We start from the raw sequence: 19,262 nt of genomic DNA, 5'->3' as shown, positions 1-19,262 counted from the left end.
GTTCTTCTTTTTGTCGATGTAGCTCAAGATTGAATTAGTTTTTTAGACTAAAACACATAATTACAGTTATTTAGTGTGCACCTGTTTATAATTGAATCACAAGCCTCTCATTACTTGAATTCCTAATGCTAAGATGACTTAAGCCCCTCAATCACACATGATAAGAGTAAATAGTTAATAGCACTTGCTATATACCAAGCCCTGTTTTAAATACTCCACATACATTAACTTCACTAATCCTCACAAGTACGTTTCAAGGTAGTTAATTTACTACAGTCCCCATTTTATATGTGGGGAAACGGAGGCACAGAGCAGTTAACTAGCTCAAGATTACACAGATAATAAGTGGCACAGCTGAGATTTGAACCCAGGTAGTCTTGTTCCAGAGTCTGTGCTTTTAATCGCTAAGCCATTCTGCACATAACTTTTTGGAGACAGAAGGAAGGAGCACAAGAGGATGCCTGTGATTCACAAAGCCAAAGGGTTGGCTCAGGCCCCTGCTGTGATGGTGATGGAGTCAGGGCTTCCATGTCCTACACCACCCCCATCGGAGTACCTCTGGAGCAACCCTCTGGGGCAGGGCTCTAAGAAGGGAAGGCAGGCCCTGGGGCATAGCGGTGTGAGCTCCTGTCCATCAGGCCCAGAGCTTCTTGGTTCTTTGTACTTCAGGGAGGGCAGAGCTACTTCACAGCCTTCACAGATCAGTTACTGGGGAATGCAACCACTCCATGGGGAAGGGGAGAGGGTCAACCTTTTCCTGCCTGGAAGGCTCAGTACAAGGCTGTGCTGGCCAAAATGATCCCAGTCCCAGAGAAGCTGAGAGTTCAGTTGGCTTAGAGCCTGGAGTCCTAGGGAGCACAGGGGGCTCACATGCCTATGCTCACATCCAGTGTACTCACTGGGGAAGGGGAGTTGCTTGTTGCTGTTTTAAAAATAATATAAAAGGTTCAGGGCTTTGAAAGTGCCAAAGAGAATTAATTTACTATGATGAGTCACTAAACAGAGAAGGAGTGGGGTTCGATGAGGTGATGTCTCTGGAAGAATTTTGTTCTGCCGTGCTGCCTGCCCAGAAGAATCTGAGTGGGGGCCACATGTCTGTGTGGCTCTGATGCAGTTCTATTATGTTTGACTTTGTCATCCCTTCTTATCCTCAAGGTCCAGGGATGAGGTTGGGTGTGAGCATGATAGAGGTGAAATATTCTTAACTAACGCCATGCACGTGGGACTGACTGGAATCCACAAGGCCAATGTGTGTTCTTTGCAGATGTTTCTCTTTTGGCATCTGACTTGTGGGAGAGGCTCTGGGGGAAAGCGGGAAGATCTCTTGCTCCAGGAAACCCAGATCCTCCATGCTTCCGCCTTTATTACACGAATGTATCTGTCTCCAACTCAGATAAATCATAGAGTGTCAGAGCTAGAAGGGACCCCAGAGGTCATTTGGTTCATTTTCTGATTTAGAGCTGGGCAAAGTGAGACCCAGAGAGAGGCAATGACTTGCCCAAGCCCATGCAGCTACTGAGTGACAGATAGGGGCAAGATTGCAGGTCCCTGACTTCTAGTCTAGAGCTCAGTCCACCAGCAACATCCCTGACTCACTCTTTTTCCATTCAGATGAAAGGAAAGGGTCTGGATTTAAATGTTGCCAAGTATGACCACAACCATTCTAGCAGCCTGCCAAATCTGTTTCAAAATCTTTCTTTACAGAATCTTTTTTTTTTTTTTTGGCTCCCACTCCCAGCAGACCCCTTCCCCTACCTCCGACCCTTCATCTCCGTCCCCTATTATCAAATATTTTGTCAACACCGCTGGTAAGTGTGGTGCTGGTTGGGGGAGATCAGGTAAGGGCTTTCATAAGAAGATGACTAACTAGTGGAATGATTAAGATCATAGGTCCTGGTTTGGCAGCTTTGCAGAAGTGGGCCATGGTGGCATTTGGAGCACTCCCACTGCCTGTTAAAAGAAAAATTTTAGATGAATTAAACTTAACAGAGTTTGAGCAAAGCATGATTCAGGAACTTGGGAGCCCTCAGAATCAGAATGGTTTCTGAGTGACTCTGAGGCTGCCACATGATTGGATACATTTATGGACAGAAAAAGGAAAGTGACCTACAGAAAATGGAAGTGAGATACAGAAATGACTGGATTGGTTACAGCTTTGTATTTGCTTTATTGGAATAGTGTTTGAATAGTTGGCTACCTGTGATTGGTGGAAGCTCAGCTGCTGTGGTTGGCTGAGACTCAGCTACTTGTCACAAGAGTAGGTTACAGTCTATTACACATCAAGTTGGGTTACAGTTTATTATACGTGGAAAAGCCCTTAGGCCACACTTAAAATATGTAAGGAGGCAGCTTTAGGCCAAACTTAATGTAACATGTCCCAGGCCAAGTGTATGATAGCAGATGGTGGTTTGAACGAGGGGAGGGGCCTAGACAGCTATGGGACTTGGCCTGTGATGTGAGAGTCAGATTATGTGAGGTTTTGTGCCATCTTATGTCAGACTTGCTAGAAATGGCCAACACCTGGAATGGATGCCTTCCATTACATGTTGCAACCATTAACATCTAAACTATGGATATTTCAACCGAGGCTGCTCACTAGGGATTAGGGAGCTTTTGAAAAATCCTGATGTCCAGGTCATACCTCAGACTAATTATATTAGAATATCTGGCATCAGTACTTTTTAAAGTTCCCAGGTGATGCTATTGTGCACCCAAGGTTGAGAACCACTGCTCTAGGCTGAGGGCTCAGGCCATCAGCTGACCCTTGAGGAACTCTGTCCATGCGCCTTCCCTTGAACGAACTGTTTGCCTTTCCCCTAGAGGAAGAATGCAAACAAGAACAACAGGAAACCATCTGTGTATTCTGGGCTGATGGGATGGCCTTCCACTGTCCTCCAAGCTTATCTATGGCATCATTCTCCCCTCACCCCACCCAGAGAGACTGCAAAGGTAGTGTGTGGAGTTCTGGTAGAATGTGGAAGAAGAGGTTACAGGCAGCTCAGGGACAACAAGAATATGCTCTACTGGACATCAGCAAAGCCTCCTTTGTAATGAGCTTCTGACCAGAATCAAGGGTAGGCTGGGGCCAACAGGACTGCTGGAGCAAGGCCGGAGGGAGCCAGGACTGGCCAGCCACAGGCAAAGGGCAGATCAGGACCTGGGAGGCCAGGAGTCTTCTCCCAAAGAACAAGAGAGCATTCCATCTCCTCATGGAATGGGAGCCCATGGAGGTAAAGCAAGGGAGTGGCAGGTTATGGATGAGAACCCAGGTGTCCTGGTCCCTTGTAATGCTCTTTTATTTGTATCTTCACATATATGTTAAAAAGCTAATTATTGTTCAGCCAAAGTACATGCTGCCTTCTGCTGAGAAGAGAATCAGCCAGCAGGGAGAAGGCCAACGCTCTGTAAGGCCACCCTGGGTGTTGAAGGGGCAGAGCACCGATTTGAAGGCCTTGCAGTGCCGACACAGGAAAGGAGACGGGCTTCGCAAATTCCCACTGCCGGGAAGTGAAGCCCGGAACTGCAGGCTTACTCTTCAGAAGGGCTCCAAGATAGCAACAGAAAACATTTCTTCATTCATCATTCACACATTTTAAAAAGTATTCTTGATTAGAAAAAATCCACAGGTTTCCCCCAGCTTGACTTTCCAGAGGCTGTCGTGGTCCTTGCTCCAGGGAGCAGGTTTACACGCAGCACGTGGGGCTCTGGCAGCCGGGCAGCATGGCACCCTGCAAACCATATTTAGTTGTTGTTTCTCAACATGAGTTGAATGGGATTGGAGAGAAAATAATTTTCCATTAATAAAGTTGCACACCTCTTTTTAAACTTGGAATAAGAATCTGATTCTGCATTAAAACAAGTTTCAGAAAAACAGATTCACCAATAAATTCCTTTCCAGGGGCCAGAGCGAAGTTTAAGTTGTAAAGAAAAGCATTGGGCAAAGCGCTTCCCACGTTTCAGTAGTTCCTGTGCTCTTTTAGTAGTAGTCTTAGTAGGCCCTGTTTAATAGTAGTATTCTTTTGTGAATTTCCCACCATAATTTTTTTTTCTTTTTAGTTCTGTGATACGTGTGCAGGATGTGCAGGTTTGTTACATAGGTAAATGTGTGCCATGGTGGTTTGCTGCGCCTATCAACCCATTACCTAGGTGTTAAGCCCAGCATGCATTAGCTATTTCCACCATAATTTTTGAGGGGCCTTATTAGAGGGTTTCCATTTTAGATGAAGTACTGATTTCCAGTAAGTAGCTTACCACTGCATAGGTGTGCATCACAGAAATGCTCAACAAGGTCTGCAGGTCATGTTTCCATTCGGGGAACTCTCTACTCCAAGCCAAGTGTGACCATTTAAGGGCTGGCTAGTTGGGGAAGGGAGTGGACACCTGAACCCATGTTTTTACTTAGTCTCATGGCACAGCAGCGCCCCTATAGATGGGTATATGGGGCCGCTGCTGGCGTCCTGCCCTCCTCCCCAGGCTCTGCCTCTACCATCCTAGGAACAGCCGTACCCCACTGAGAATCCAACTGAACCTAGCCCTGTGCTCTGAGAAACGTGTACCCCGATGGGGAGCACCAACCTGACCGCATACCCTCTCCCCTTCTCTGTAGAGTTCCAGGAGCGAATTGCAAACCCACCGGGAAAATGAGCGAAGAGACGGTCCCCGAGGCTGCCTCGCCGCCGCCCCCGCAGGGGCAGCCTTACTTTGACCGCTTCTCAGAGGACGACCCCGAGTACATGCGCCTTCGCAACCGGGCGGCGGACCTGCGGCAGGACTTCAACCTGATGGAGCAGAAGAAGCGCGTCACCATGATCCTGCAGAGTCCCGTGAGTGGGGCTGACCCGGGCGGGAGAGGGCGCAGGGGGCGCTGGCTCTTCAGGACGTGTACCCACCCGAAAGATGAGTAACTCCTCTTTCCCTTGCTCAGGGTCAGTAGAAATGTAAGCCCACTGAGCAAGACGGATCTGGTCACCTGGGGCCTTGACACTCTCCCTTGTAACTGGTGGATGGCAGAACCTGGCTTGTGTGTGGCAGTTTGGCTTGGTGCGGGGGGAGGTGGGACGGAGACAGGAGTCCCCCTCAGTTTCCTGTGCCCCTTCGGAGCCTCAGTTCCCAGTCTTCCCTCCTCACCAAAAGCTATGACAGTGAACGGACAAATCCATGTAAACTAGAGACCAGCAGGGTGCCAGGAGGAGGGCTTGGGGCTCCCTTTACTGAACACCACAAAGTAAGAACTTTCTGTCGGGACAAATGAAGCTTTGACATGAATGGGATGGGGCTGAGGAGAGCCTGGAAGCCCCAGGAGGTGGGCAGAGTGGAGGGCTCAGCCGGGCTGTGGGATGGGGTGTGGGAAGGGAAGGCAAGTCGGGATCACTCACATCCCTCCTTACTTGGGGCCAGTTGGTTCCTGCCTGGCATGGACACAGCTCCTCCTTGAGGCAGGTAGTGCCTTGAGAAGGCCGAAGGGTGGGCCCTGTGGACCACTGAAGGCAGAGGGAGATCACTGTGGTGGAGGCAAGAGGGGTCTGACTGAGGAAGAGCTTGGGGGGCCTCAGGAATCAGCCCATGATCCTAAGGATCGGGAAGCCCAGGGACAGAGTTGGCATCTCCAATTGCTTGCCAGGATGGGCTCGAGATGGGAGCCGCTCTGCCTTGGCCTTCTGGGCTCCAGAGAGCCAGGGCCTGTGCAGGGGCTGTGTGAGACCCTGGCTGGGAGCCATGGTGCATACTCAGGCCACACAGAGCAGCTCCAGGGAATGGGCCGAGGTCCAATATCTGTGCCCAGATATTGTGTTGGGGAGCTGGGAGGAATATGGCAGATGCTGAAAGCATTGGGGTGAAGAGCCTCTGGGAAAACCCCCAGAGTGTGACTAGGAGGGGTGGCAAGGGGGTTAGGAGAGGCGGCAGAGTTAGCACCAGCCCAGATTTCAGGGCTCAGGCAGTAAATAGGGGTTGGAGGAGGGCCTGCTTCCTTCTTCCCTTTTACAGGTTGGCCAACACACCTAAGTGGCCCCCCATTTCCTCCTGAGTGTTTTCTCCTGCCACCTGGTGGGCAGGATTCCTTGCTTATGGCTTCATGGTCTGAAAAGCCAGGCTTAGAGTTGGACATCAGGAGTGGAAGTGACCTCAGAGGTCATCAAATCTTCCTGTTCTTCCTCCTACCCTTTCATTAAGCACATGAGGAAACTGAAGCCCGAAAGAATCACAGGCATCGCTAATGGAGAGGGATGGTGGCTCTCTCCATTCAGTTCTGCCTAAAAAAATGTCCTTCATTACTAAAGTGAAGTCCTACCATGTCTGATGGTGGGGAGGGGTCTTGGCCCTCATTTAGACACAGAAAGGACCTGGAATCTGGATTACTGCCCACAGGGCAAGGGAACACAAGATCCATTCCCAGCATTTCTTTGTTGCTTCCCATACAGCAATTCCTGAGGTCCTAGTGGAACTGCTCAGTGTCCCCTGTAGCTGGGGACCCTGAGCATGGCCCTGACCTAGCTGACCCAGGGGCAAGGGGTGGGCACTTGGAAGAGCTCATTGTTGGGCAGCTGTGTGAGAGGCTGTGGGGGGACAAGCACCTCGGGGCCTGCTTCAGTCTTTCAGGGAGGAGCTGGAAGGCCTCATCCAGGAGCAGATGAAGAAGGGGAACAACTCCTCCAACATCTGGGCCCTGCGACAGATCGCGGACTTCATGGCCAGCACCTCCCACGCAGTCTTCCCGACATCTTCCATGAGTATGTGGTGTCTGGGGAGCTGCCAGGAGCAGAGGTGGAGGGGAGGGTGGGGTGGGGAAGAGAGGGAGGAGCAGCAAGAAGCATCTGGTTGCCAGGCTATGGAGTAAGCAGCCCATTGTGTTATCAGGCCTTGGGGAGCTCAGCAGCAGCCAGAGAGGTACCTGGCTCTGCTTCTGATGTTGCTGCAAATTAAACGTCCACAGAAAAATTACCCCAATGCCAGGAATAAGAGGGTGGAGGTGACTTCAGTGGACGGGAAGAGACCACTGAAGCCTGTGTTTCCATGCCCCACTAGACAGGCCAACCTGACTCCACAGATGAGGGCTGAGAGGAGCCAGCCAGGGCTATGCAGGAAGCCACCCTCCTGGGCTGTTATGCTCTGCCCATAACGTTTAAAACACAAGCATCAAAAAATAACTCCCCCTCAATAAGATTATTACAGGATTATGGCTGAAAACTGTGAAAATAACCAAGAAAGGGAAGCAGAAATCATTCTACTGTGTTCTTAAAGCCCTCATATTACTATTCTTAATATTTTGGTGAACATATATCCTTCCAGTCCTTTTTTTCTTAACATATATAGATTATGCAAACACAAATGTAATCACATAAAATATGGTTCTATAATATAATTTTTGGTGGATACATGCTATTTAATAAATTTCCCATTGTTGGACTTTTAGGTTATTTCCAACTTTTTCTGTTAGGAACAATGCAATAAACATCCTTGTAAATAAACCTGAGATTATATCCGTGATTATTTTCTTAAGATAAATTACTAGTAGAATTGCTGAATTGAAGTACATGCATGCATGTTTTAAAGACTTTAATGCAGAATGGCAGATTACATCCTTTCTCCAAATGGATCCAATTTACGTTCCCAACAGTAATGCGGTAGAGTGCCCATTTCCTCTACCCTGGTCCATAGTGTATACTACCATTTGTTTCATCCTCCTGATTCAGTAGGTGACAAATAATACTTTATTTGTGTTTTAATGTGCATTTGTTTGACTACTGATGAGGTTGGATATATTAATGTATTTTCACATACATATTGGACATGATTTTCTTCCTTTCTCTCTCTCTTTCTCTTTCTCTCTTTCTCTTTCTTTCGTTTTCTTTTCTTCTTCCTTTCCTTTCCTTTTTCTTTTCTTTCTTTTCTTTTCTTCTTCCTTTCCTTTTTCTTTTCTTTCCTTTCTTTCACGCAGAATCTCACTCTGTTGCCCAGGCTAGAGTGTAGTGGTGCAATCTCAGCCCACTGCAACCTTCCAGGCTCAAGCAATCCTCCCACTTCAGCCTGCCAAGTAGCTGGGACCACGGGCACGCACCACATGCCTGGCTAATTTTTGTATTTTTTGTGGAGACAGGGTTTCACCATGTTGCCCAGGCTGGTTTGGCACTTCTGGGTTCAAGTGATCCACCCACCCCGGTCTCCCAAAGTGTTAGCATTACAGACGTGAGCCACCGTGCCCGCCCCTGACTTTCTTTTTATAGTAAATTGCCTTTTTACATCCTTTGCCTATTTTCCTATTAGTGTATTATTTTCTTATAGATTTTTACATTTTTATAAAGTAAAGCTGTTTCTCTATTATCTGTCAAATATATTGCTTTTTTTTTTTCCAGTTTCTCCTTTGTCTTTTAGTTTTGTCCATGGCATTTTTTTTGTCTTGTAGAATTCTTTAGTTTCTGTGTAGCGGAAACCATTGTAATTTTCCTTTGTGTGTTCTGCTTTTGATTGCATGCTTAGAAATACCTTTCCCATGTTTCATCATCTGATGGAACAAATACCCTTAATTATGCATTTGTCAATTTTCCTCAACTGTTTGTACAAGTTTATTCTTTACAATAACTTTAGGCCAGGCACAATGGTTCATGCCTGTAATCCCAGCACTTTGGGAGGCCAAAGCAGGTGGATCACCTGAGGTCAGGAGTTTGAGACCAGCCCGGCCAACATGGTGACACCCTGTCTCTACTAAAAATATAAAAATTAGCCAGGCATGGTGTTGCATGCCTGTAATCCCAGCTACTTGGGAGGCTGAGGTGGGAGAATTGTTTGAACCCTAGAGGTGGAGGTTGCAGTGAGCTGAGATTGCACCACTGCACTCCAGTCTGAGTGACAGAGCAAGATTCCATCTCAAAAAAGCAAAAACAAAAATCAAACTTTAGAATTATTTTATCAAGTCCCCCCATTGACCTTAAAAATTCCTTTTGGGATTTTGATTGGGATTACATTAAACGAATAAATTGATTTGGTGAAGAATTTATAAATTTATAATTTTATATTAGAATGTAAGCTCTGTAGGGGAAATTTGTAAGTTTGGTCCACTGCTATATCCTTTGATTTAGAATGTATCTGGCACATAGTAGGTACTTAAAGATATTTACATGAGTGAATTGTAAATCTTTTCAGAAATGAGATATGTCTTTTATTTATTTAAGTCTTCTTTCATATCCATCAGAGAAGTTTAGTAATTATTTTCATGTAGTTCTTACTAATTTCTTATGAAGTTTACTCTGAAATTTTTAAATAACTTTGTTATTTTAAGTGAATCTTTATCCATTCTATTTTCTTTCTGGTTATAGTTCTCATTTAAGATAAATTGTTAGATATATATATACATATAAGTGTGTGTGTGCATGTGTGTATACACTAGCCCCTTATTGAACTCTTATTTAAATTTTAATATCATCTCAGTTAATTCTTTTGGGTATTGTATATACAAAAATCACATAATCTGCAAATCATGATCATTTTGCTTCCTTCATTTCAACATTTACCCATTGGTTTATTTTTCCAGTTTTCTCATTGCATCTGTTAGAACTTTCAGAACAATGTTTAATAATAGATTAATTATCCTTGTCTTATTTCTGACTTTAATGGAAGTTGTTTTACCACAAGAGTTTGAGACAATTATTTTTTATCGTGTTGAGGAAATATCTTTTTATTCTAGTTCACTATGAGTTTTTCTCAGGAATGGATGTTGAATGTCATAAAATACATTTTGGCCATTTATTGGTTTTTTTTTCCCTTGAACTATTGAGGTGATGAGTTTTAGTAACAGATTTCTGAGTATTGAACTCCTTTTTCATTACTGAAATAAATCATTCTTGGTCTTGATGCATTCTTTTAAAAATACCCTTCTGGATTTGATTTTCCAGAATTTTATTAAAGATTTTTGCATTCATATTCACACATGAGATTGGTTAGCAGTTCACTTTTTGGGCAGTCTTTACCTAGTATTGATACCATGACTGTAATTTCATAACATGAATCAAGGTGATTTCTCTCTCTTTTTTACCCTGATATAGTTTAAATAAGATAGGAAATCTCTGTTCCTTGAGATTTATTATTCACTTAGAATGTCATCTAGATCTGGAATATTTTTAGGGATTTTTGATGTTTTTGTCCTCAGTTTCATCTGGGGTTTTAAAATTTATTTTGCTGCTTCTTGGTTAAATTTTCGTCATATATTTTGTGTAAAATAAACCATTTTATGGAGTTTTTCAAAATTATGAGTCATTTACAATATTATTTTTATCATTCAAATTTCCTGCTAAAGTAGATGAGATAACATCCCATTCTCATTCCTGGTGCTATGTAAATTTTTGCTTTCTCTTTATTGACCAATCTAGATATTTGTTTATTCATAGATCATCTCACATAAGCCAATTCTTGGATTTACTTATTGGTCCTGTTATTCTTTCTGCTTCCTGATTCATTAGTTTTATTTCTATATTCATTAATCCTTTTCCATAACTTTTCTATTTTGTTATTTATGTATTTTCTAGAGCAGCATAAAATGTATTTATTTTTATACTGAATTCAATAATAAAGACATTTAAGGCTATAAATTTTTTTCTATGAGTATATGTTTGGCCTTATCTCAGGAATTTGACACATAGTAATTATTTTATTGTTAATTTCTAAATAGCTTGCAGTTGCTGTTTGGACTTTATTTTTCTTCTAAGAGCTATCTAGGAGTGTTTTCTTATTTCCAAGTGGTTGAATGCTTAGTCTTTTAAAGGTTTGCTAATAGCATTGGATTTTATTGCATTATGTTTAGAAAATATGGCCTATTTAATTTCTGTGTTGGAGATATATTCAGGTATTCTCTGTGACCTAATAATATCATTTAAAAATGATAATGGGTATATACCATCTCTATAGCATGGTATTTAATCTATATTTTTGTCTTAATTTGATTTTGTAAACAATTTTCTCCCATTACATTTGATTTCTGTTCATTTCTCTTGGTATTTATGATAGTTTTTGCTTTCTATGTCTTGAAATATTCACGGCATAAGCATGACTGATAGTTATAGCTTCATTATTGATTGCACCTTTAATTCATATAAAATGACCTATTAAATAGCTTCTTTGTATAAGAGAATATTGTTTTGCCCAACTTCTATTTTGATAATAATGTGATGACCTCTGCGTAGTTTTTGTTTATATTTGCCTGGTGTATTTTTGATCTTCCTTTTATTTTTACCTTTTTGGAGCCACTTTATTTTAGTGGGGTTTTTTTTGTTTTGTTTTTGAGACAGGATCTTGCCCTGTCTCCTAGGCTGGAGAGCAATGGTGCAAACACAGCTCACTGCAGCCTCAACCTCCTGGGCTCAAGTGATCTTTCTGCCTCAGCCTCCCAAGTAGCTGGGACTACAGGCATGTGCCACCATGCCTGGGCAATTTTAAAATTTTTTATAGAGACGAGTTCTCACTGTGTTGCCCAGGCTGGTCTGAAACTCCTAGGCTCAAGCGAGTTTTCTGCATCCGCTTCCCAGAGTGCTGGGACTGCAGGTGTGAGCCACTGTGCCTGGCCTGTTTTTATTTTTTGTAAACTTCCTATAGCATTGCCATCTGACATTCTGTGGCTGTAACAGAGAAATGGGATAGCCAATTTTTTTGGTTCCTTTTTAGGTCGCCAAACATTTTTTTTCTAGATGCTTATGGATATTTTCCCCTTATCCCTGTATTTCAGAAATGTTACCAGGAAGCATATAATTGTAGGTTTTTTTCTTTATATGAACTTTCCCCATAATCAGTGAGTACTCACATGCACAGGTCTTTTTTTTTACAGTTCAGAAAATGTTTCTTCTACCATATTCACATGGCTTATCTATAGCCGGGCTCTCTGGTTTTTATCTCCCAAATCTGTCATATTCTCTACCATCCTTTCCACGTCTGTCATTATACTCTTCCTCCTGAGAAAGGAATGGGGCTGACCAGCATTCCCATTGCCTCACCAATCAACATCTGTCAGGAAGACAGATGGATGCCTGGAAATCTGCTTGGTACACATCCAGGATATCTGAGTCAGGGATGCGGAGAGGGGAAGTTTCAAGTACCAAGAGTTCAAGCCCAGATAGGTTGTTATCTGTCTAGCTCCATTTGCCTTAGAAATTGGGGTTTTGAGCATCAGTGTGCCCTTAAGTCTTAGCTTTCAGGGACCATGGTGAGTTTTCATCTTTTTCTGTGTTTTCTTAGGTACTTTGACTAAATGGCTCAGTTAGATCTGATTTATAAACGTGACATTTAGCCATCCTAACTTTCGTGAGGCCAATTAGAATAAGCTTTTAAAAACTTGTTGTAATATTATTTTCTTTTTAAAATGGATACCTAATAGTTGTACATATTTATGGGGTACAAGCGACATTTTTATATATAAATAATAATATAATGATCAAATCAGGATAATTGGAATAACCATCACCTCAAACACTTATCATTTATTTATTGGGAGCATTCCACGTCTTTTCTTCTAGCTGTTTTGAAATACACTATGAATTCTTGTTAACTACAGTTGCCCTATTGTACTTTCAAATTCTAGAACTTATTCGGTCTGTCTGTGTTTTTGTACTCATTAATCAACCTGTCTTCATCCCACCTCTCTTGAGACTCAGAGCAGGGGATCGGGAGCTCCTTTTGAGCCCTCCTGTTCTCTTCTTCTTCTGCCCCTTGTACCTGTGGGTGAGGTCATCCTCTTAGTTGAACCTCCACGGGGTTGGGGAGAGGGACTGTCTTTGATACAGACACAGATGATGTGATGGGGTGAGTATTTTCAGACCTGTTCTGGCCCCCTGGCCATCACTGGGGCCCCATGGTTATTTGTAGGAGAAGTATTCAAAGAACTGTGGTATAGACTATATAGACCTCCCAACATCAGCCCCACCTGCCCACCTTTGCCTGGGGCCCTGTGCTTTTGACATGCCCTCCTCGCTGCTAGGCATGAAGCAGAGAAGTAATTTCTTGTCTGGGGAACCCACAGAGGGGAGGAGGCAATCCCAAACTGGTCAATTTGAATTAGAAATCCTTAACTTTGGAAGTTTGTTGTTGTCCTTGGCAGTCTAACTAGGCTTTTGGACCACTGCTGTCCCTGCTATCTGTGTTTGCAGGGCACCTGCCCTGGAGGTGTATCACCTCTGGTTGGCAAGGCCCTTGTGTGCGTTTCCTGACATGGGTGATTCAAGGCCTACTCTGCTCGCTGGATGTTGGCCCAGCACCCAGTCTGCCCTCGCTTTTTGTAGACCACATCATCACTTCCACTAATGGCACACTCGATGCAGGACATACATCGTCCGCCCTCGCTTTTGTAGACCACGTCATCACTTCCACTAATGGCACACTCGATGCAGGATATACATCGTACTGCAGCAAGTTTCACAGAGGTGGTAAAAGCTTCCAAAGAGCATCCTGATCCATTAAAATCTTTGGTGGGAGCTGGGAGAGGCAGCATCAGGAGGCTCCCAGCCAGACACCATTTTAAGCCAGAACCTTTCCTATTGATTCTCTTATTAGTTCCTAGATGCTGATTCAGATGCTAGAGCTCAGATGCCCTCTGCTCCCTTCCTGAGGCATGTAGGCAGTGGTCATCATGGTTAACGGGATAGACTGGATGTCATATCCTAGACCCTTGCATGCCCTGAGGACAAGACTATCAAACCCTCTAGGCCCATTTCCAAATCCCTTCCACATCCCCTCAAATTCCCAGAAAGAACCACCGTATAGCTAAGGGACTGCATGCCCAGAGAGGAGCCTAGGTACCCTGCCTGAGGCCTCTGGCCTTTCAGCCAGCCACAGCTGCACTCACTTCCAGAAGTTTATGACTTGTTAGAAAAACTTGAGGAAGTTACTTTCAGGCTGATCTGGCTTTCTTTTTTTGGGAGGGTGTGGGGGACGGAGTCTCGCTCTGTCCCCAGGCTGGCGTGCAGTGGTGCACTGCAACCTCCACCTCCCAGGTTCAAACGATTCTCCTGCCTCAGCCTCCTGAGTAGCTGGTATTACAGGCGCGTGCCACCACACCCAGCTAATTTTTGTATTTTTAGTAGAGACGGGGTTTCACTGTGTTGGCCAGGATGGTCTTGATCTCTCGACCTTGTGATCCGCCCGCCTCGACCTCCCAAAATGCTGGGATTACAGGTGTGAGCCACCGCACCCAGCTCTGATCTGGCTTTCTATTTTCCCTGTTTCTAAATCACAGAAAATGTGATTACATGGTGTCGTTAAAACAATGTAATAGCTGGTTTAATGACGAGTAACTTCTTCATTAATAATAACTGATGAAATATACCCATGTTTCCACTCAGAGGTTTATTCTTGCTTTGATTCAGTGCCCATCTTCAGAGTTTATGGTAAGCTTGGCATTCCCAGAACCTGTGTGGCATTCCCAGAACCCTTCATTCTGTGGCCTTGAGACTTGCCATGATTTTTGAGCAAAAGTTTATCTGAATGAGCAGACTTTATTGGGCACAGACGTCGATTCTGTGGACTCCTGCCCCAGGTAAGGGTCAAAGAATGTTTAATTCCCTGCCTGGGGAAGTCTCCTGTGCAGTTTTAGTGCCAGTGAGAATTTGGAGAACACTGGAGCAAGGAAGGGGAGGGCAGATGGGCCCTGGCCCTGAGAGAACTGCACTGTCCCTGCAGATGTCTCCATGATGACGCCTATCAATGACCTCCACACAGCTGACTCCCTGAACCTGGCCAAAGGGGAGCGGCTCATGCGGTGCAAGATCAGCAGTGTCTACCGACTCCTGGACCTCTATGGCTGGGCCCAGCTGAGTGACACCTATGTCACGGTGAGCAGAACGCCCTGGAATTGGGTGGGGCACTGCATGTGGTCCCACAAAACCCAAAGGGAGAACTCCTGACCCTTGGCATGGCCATGGCACTGCTGGTGACCTTTGGCTAAAATGCACTGAACCCTTCCAAGTTTTTTAACCACTGTGGTCATTGATAAGGCATCCTGCCCAGTGGGCACTTTTTTGGATGGGAAGGAACTCCTGGATCCTATCCTAGAGCTACCCTTGATCATAGTGAGTTTCCTTTTGTAGCTCCCTTTCTCCTGCTCCAAATAAAAGCTGAGTTCTTTTTATCTCTTATGGCTGGGGGGGAGAGATAAGGGTTCATTAGAGATGGACTTGGGTGCAGTAGATTCAGGGGAAGAGGGGATTCAAGCACAGTGTCCTTGGAAATGTCCTTTCTCCCTCCTTGCCCCTGAGAACTTGTGTCTTTCCTCCAGTTGAGAGTCAGCAAGGAGCAGGACCACTTCCTGATCAGCCCTAAGGGAGTTTCTTGCAGTGAAGTCACAGCGTCCAGCCTGGTGAGTACAGTCCAGCATCACTGCCCACTCCTTATTGAAATGACAGCACTCTCTCTGTTCCCACAGTGCTAGGTCATCTCCAAATTGGTCACTGTTGCGCTGTGGAGCTCACAATCTGATAGGGCAGAGAAGACACATGGAACAAACTAAGTGTCCAGAGCATGATGCGACCAAGAGACCAATTGCCAGGAGGAGGTGGCAAGTGCAGTGGGAGGGAGGAGGGAGTGGAGATGGGCCTGGCATCCTCTCAGCAGACTCATGGGATGGCTACACCTGGGATTAGACCACAATGGTTGGGAATGGGGGGCCTTTCTGGTTAGGGGGATACATTAGAATAAGACCCAAAGCAGCACGAGATTTGTCCAGCACTGGCACCATTAGAGATGCTTCTGGGTCCCTTTTCAGTGTTGCTCCTTTTAGATGAGGTAGAGGCTTGCAAAAGTTGCTTTAGTTCAGGAAATATTTCCAGATGGGGGGAGGAAAGCAGTAGAAAGGACTGTCTTAGAAGCAGAAAAGGCCCAATCCTTCTCAGATACATGGGCTGTGGCTGCTATGCCATGTACCTCGGAGAGGAGGACACTACCTTGGGGGCTTCTGCCAGGCTTGAGACATGCTCAGGTGTAGAGCGCGGCTACTCACTCAAAAGTCCAGGCTCAGCAAGTCATAGAATATCTAGGCAGGGCAGGACTTCTACCATGGCCAAGGCCACTTGAGAGGTAAGAAAGGAAACTGGTGCCCAGGGAGGGTAAGCAGCTTGCACAAGGCTACCCAAGGAGATGATGGCCAAGTCAGAGTTGGGACCACAGAGAAAAGGATGACACAGGCTCTGTCCGTAAGGTGTTCATGGTCTGGTTGGAGGAGAGAGGCGAGGTAATCAGCTATGAAAGCTCAGGGTTACCGAGTGTTCCAGTAGAGGTGAAGGAAGCTTGGGGAGCCTGGAAAGGGGCACCCTACCCCGCCAGGAGCTGTAGGAGAAAGAGGGAATGAGGGAGGAGGCGTCTAGCTGAAACCATGGTGCAGGAGTGGAGTCAGTGGGATATGAACCAGCGGGGTAAGCAGACTTAGATCATGGTGGCAAGGAGAGGTTTGGCAGAGGTGACTGTGTCCTTAGCAGGAGTGCAGCATGCATCAAACCCAGATGCATACCAGAGCCCTGTGCATGCATTTGGGAAGACAGGCCAAGTCTGGCTCAAGTATTCAGTATCTGGAGGTGACCTTGGGAAGGGGATCGGGTCCAGGTGATAAATGGCATGGAAGATCCTGTTATGGTGCTTTGGCTTTATTCTGCTGGACACTCAGAGCCACTGAAATGCGAGCAGGGGAGTAATGCAAGCAGATTTCTGTTGTAGAAAGATCACTCTGAAAGCTGTGTAGAGGCCAACCGACACCTAGGTGGGGTTATTACAGCAAGCTGGGAAGGAAATTCCGGGCCTCTATGCTTAGTAGGCCTGCTGATCAGTTGGATTGGGAATATGGGATTGAGTTTGAGAAGCTGGTGGGACTTTCAAGAGATGTCAGTTGGCATTTGGTTATTCTAGGTTCAGAAGAGATGCAGGCTAGAGATACAGGTTTGAGTCATGGGCATGAGATGTTTATGAATTGTGTGTAGACATAGGGCTGCTGTGTGTGGTTGTGCAGTTTGTGCACTGCACAAGGGAGCCTGGCTAATGAGGAAGAGAAGAGAGGGTGAAATCCAACCTGTGCTCCACTCACTAAGTGTCCTAGCATTGGGCTTCTGTTTTGAATTTGCACAAAGGCAATACCCACACACCAAGCCCTATGTCCCTGGGCTGTCCTCAAGAGGGGGTACCTGCTTTCTCATTTGTACAAAGGCACCGTATGGGAGGGTGGCTGCTGTATTAGGCTGTGGAGGTTCTTGAATGACAACAGATCACACATCCAACAATGAGATATAAAATATGTAAGATCAGAGAGAGATCATCTGAGAGAGGGAATTCTAAACAGGCCACATGTCTGAGGAAGTGGGGGAGCTGGGCTGAGGGAAACCAGAGGGCAGCACTCCACACTTGGGTTTAAAGTACCTGAGGCGGGAGAGTTGCTGCAGCTTTTAGGGGTCACGCTGCTTTGAAGTCTGTGAAATTCACTTAAAATAGGATATTGTAAGTGGAGATTTGTTGAACATCTTCCTGATGCTTCTGTGTAAGCAAACGCCAGCAGCACATCCCTCCGCCCACATTAGAGTCTGTCTCCCTGCTTTGATACCCATCTTGTCTGCCTGGACTTTCTGGGGTGGGGGTGATGGGCAAGTTGAGGAACTGCCCTGTGTGCCACATTCAGGATGTCACGGGTGTCTCAGTTTTAAGGGCTAAAGTTGTCATGAGTTTTAGAGACTATCATCTGGCTTGTTAATGTCCAGGGAACAACTGCAGTCAGTGAAGTTAGGTTAACTTCCAGCTGCCGGGAGATTGCACTCCGGGAAATCGGGGAGGTGTTCAGTGAGAGCGTACTGGGAGGGGCTGGCTTCAGGATTTGGATTTGTGCTGAGTGATTTGAGAGAGAGTTCTGTTTACCTTGGATTGTGGGCTTTCAGGACACAGGACATTCTGTGATTGAATATTTTACTACTTTTTATCCAGGAGGCAGGGGAGTAGGGGCACGGAGTGAGGCTAGAGCTGTCACTGGTAAAGCAGCCGCAGCCTCTTTGAGCCTCGTTGAGAAAGGGCTCAGTGTAGACATTACTCCCCCTGGAAGGCCTCTCAGATGCTCCTTTTCTGATGGGATGAAAGACTCCCCCTGTCTCTGTCTAGAGAATTCTGTGCATGACTCTTTTCTAGCACTTTGCTACCCCATGTGTGGTCTGTGGATCACTTGAGAACTTGTTAGAAATGCAGGCTCTCAGGGCCCCCTCAGCCTCTGAATCAGAACCTGCATTTGACTGGGCTTCAGGTGATTCACGTGAACAAAGTCTGAGAAACTCTGCTCTCGCATTTCTCCTGCTGAATTATAATCGTCTGTGTCCCGTTAGACTGTGCACTCACTGAGGGCAGGAACTGGTTTGTTTTCTTCCAACACCAAGTCCGTCATTGCTCATGGTGTCTGGAATGTGTGAAGACAGGTGGGCGGCACATGCTGGGCCCACCAGCTGGGAGAGGAGTGCGGGGCCTCGGCCACCCTGTTGCCATAAGTCTCTCTTCTTCCCTGGCGCAGATCAAGGTGAACATTCTGGGAGAGGTGGTGGAGAAGGGCAGCAGCTGCTTCCCAGTGGACACCACAGGCTTCTGTCTGCACTCGGCCATCTATGCAGCGAGGCCCGACGTGCGCTGCATCATCCACCTGCACACACCGGCCACAGCAGCGGTGAGTGGACTCCTTCTCAGCCACCCAAGGAAAGACGTAAGGCTGCCGAGGTTGTAGCAATCTCGTCACTTAAAACAGTCTGGAAAGATCTAGAACTCAGGCCAAGGTGAAGCGAGAGAACTCCCAACGTGGAAACGCCCAGCCTCTCCATCTTTCTGACTACTGAAGTCATAGCATAACGTGAAGACATGGAATGTCTGTTCCATCGCATCCCCCACATACTGCATACACAAGCAGTACCTGCTAAGTTTCTACTCAGGTCAGTCCTGTTGGACCAAGGCGTGGGGCCTGCCCCCACGAAGCCAGGCTCTGGCAAGGAGATATCTTGACAGAGGACAACCAGTTAGTGGGAACCTGGACTGTGCCCGTTTTCCCATAGCTCAGGGTAGGCTGAGAGTAGGGGACGGAGCAAGCAAAACTGGGAAAGAATACAAAGAAGAGACTCAATGAGCAGGTTGTCCCCCTCTGATCATTTCTCCATGTGTACCTAAGACACTGCGATGTCACTTGGAAAGACGGCAGGCAGACAACCAGTTCTGGGTACTCCCCCCGAACCCTACCCTATCCTGCTGACCCCCAGGCCACACATGTACAGGGACAGAGTAGGCTGACTTGT

At 45.9% G+C, this 19,262-nt stretch overlaps 1 protein-coding gene across 6 annotated transcripts in view, besides 1 other annotated feature; it reads left to right on the top strand.

Annotated features, from left to right (window-relative positions):
- ADD2 (adducin 2) overlaps positions 1–19,262 on the top strand; it is a 111,417-nt gene that overhangs the window by 57,152 nt on the left and 35,003 nt on the right. For all 6 annotated transcript variants that reach the window (NM_001617.4, NM_017488.4, NM_001185054.2 and 3 more), the window contains 5 exons: positions 4,607–4,823; positions 6,590–6,728; positions 14,653–14,804; positions 15,248–15,328; positions 18,497–18,646. In NM_001617.4, coding sequence (NP_001608.1) covers positions 4,641–4,823; positions 6,590–6,728; positions 14,653–14,804; positions 15,248–15,328; positions 18,497–18,646 — 705 coding nt within the window. In that variant the 5' untranslated portion in view covers positions 4,607–4,640. The remainder of the gene's footprint in view (positions 1–4,606; positions 4,824–6,589; positions 6,729–14,652; positions 14,805–15,247; positions 15,329–18,496; positions 18,647–19,262) is intronic.
- Positions 151–680: an enhancer, noted in NCBI's record as "NANOG-H3K27ac hESC enhancer chr2:70937501-70938030 (GRCh37/hg19 assembly coordinates)". NCBI's record gives its function as "activates a minimal SCP1, AML or CMV promoter by ChIP-STARR-seq in naive H9 embryonic stem cells {active_cell/tissue: H9 hESC(naive)}" and the evidence as "EXISTENCE:reporter gene assay evidence [ECO:0000049][PMID:30033119]".

This window comes from Homo sapiens, chromosome 2 (assembly GCF_000001405.40).
Source record: "Homo sapiens chromosome 2, GRCh38.p14 Primary Assembly".
NCBI classification, from domain to species: domain Eukaryota; kingdom Metazoa; phylum Chordata; class Mammalia; order Primates; family Hominidae; genus Homo; species Homo sapiens.
The sequence above is the reverse complement of the archived record's forward strand: the minus strand, read 5'-3'. Positions and strand labels throughout refer to the sequence as shown.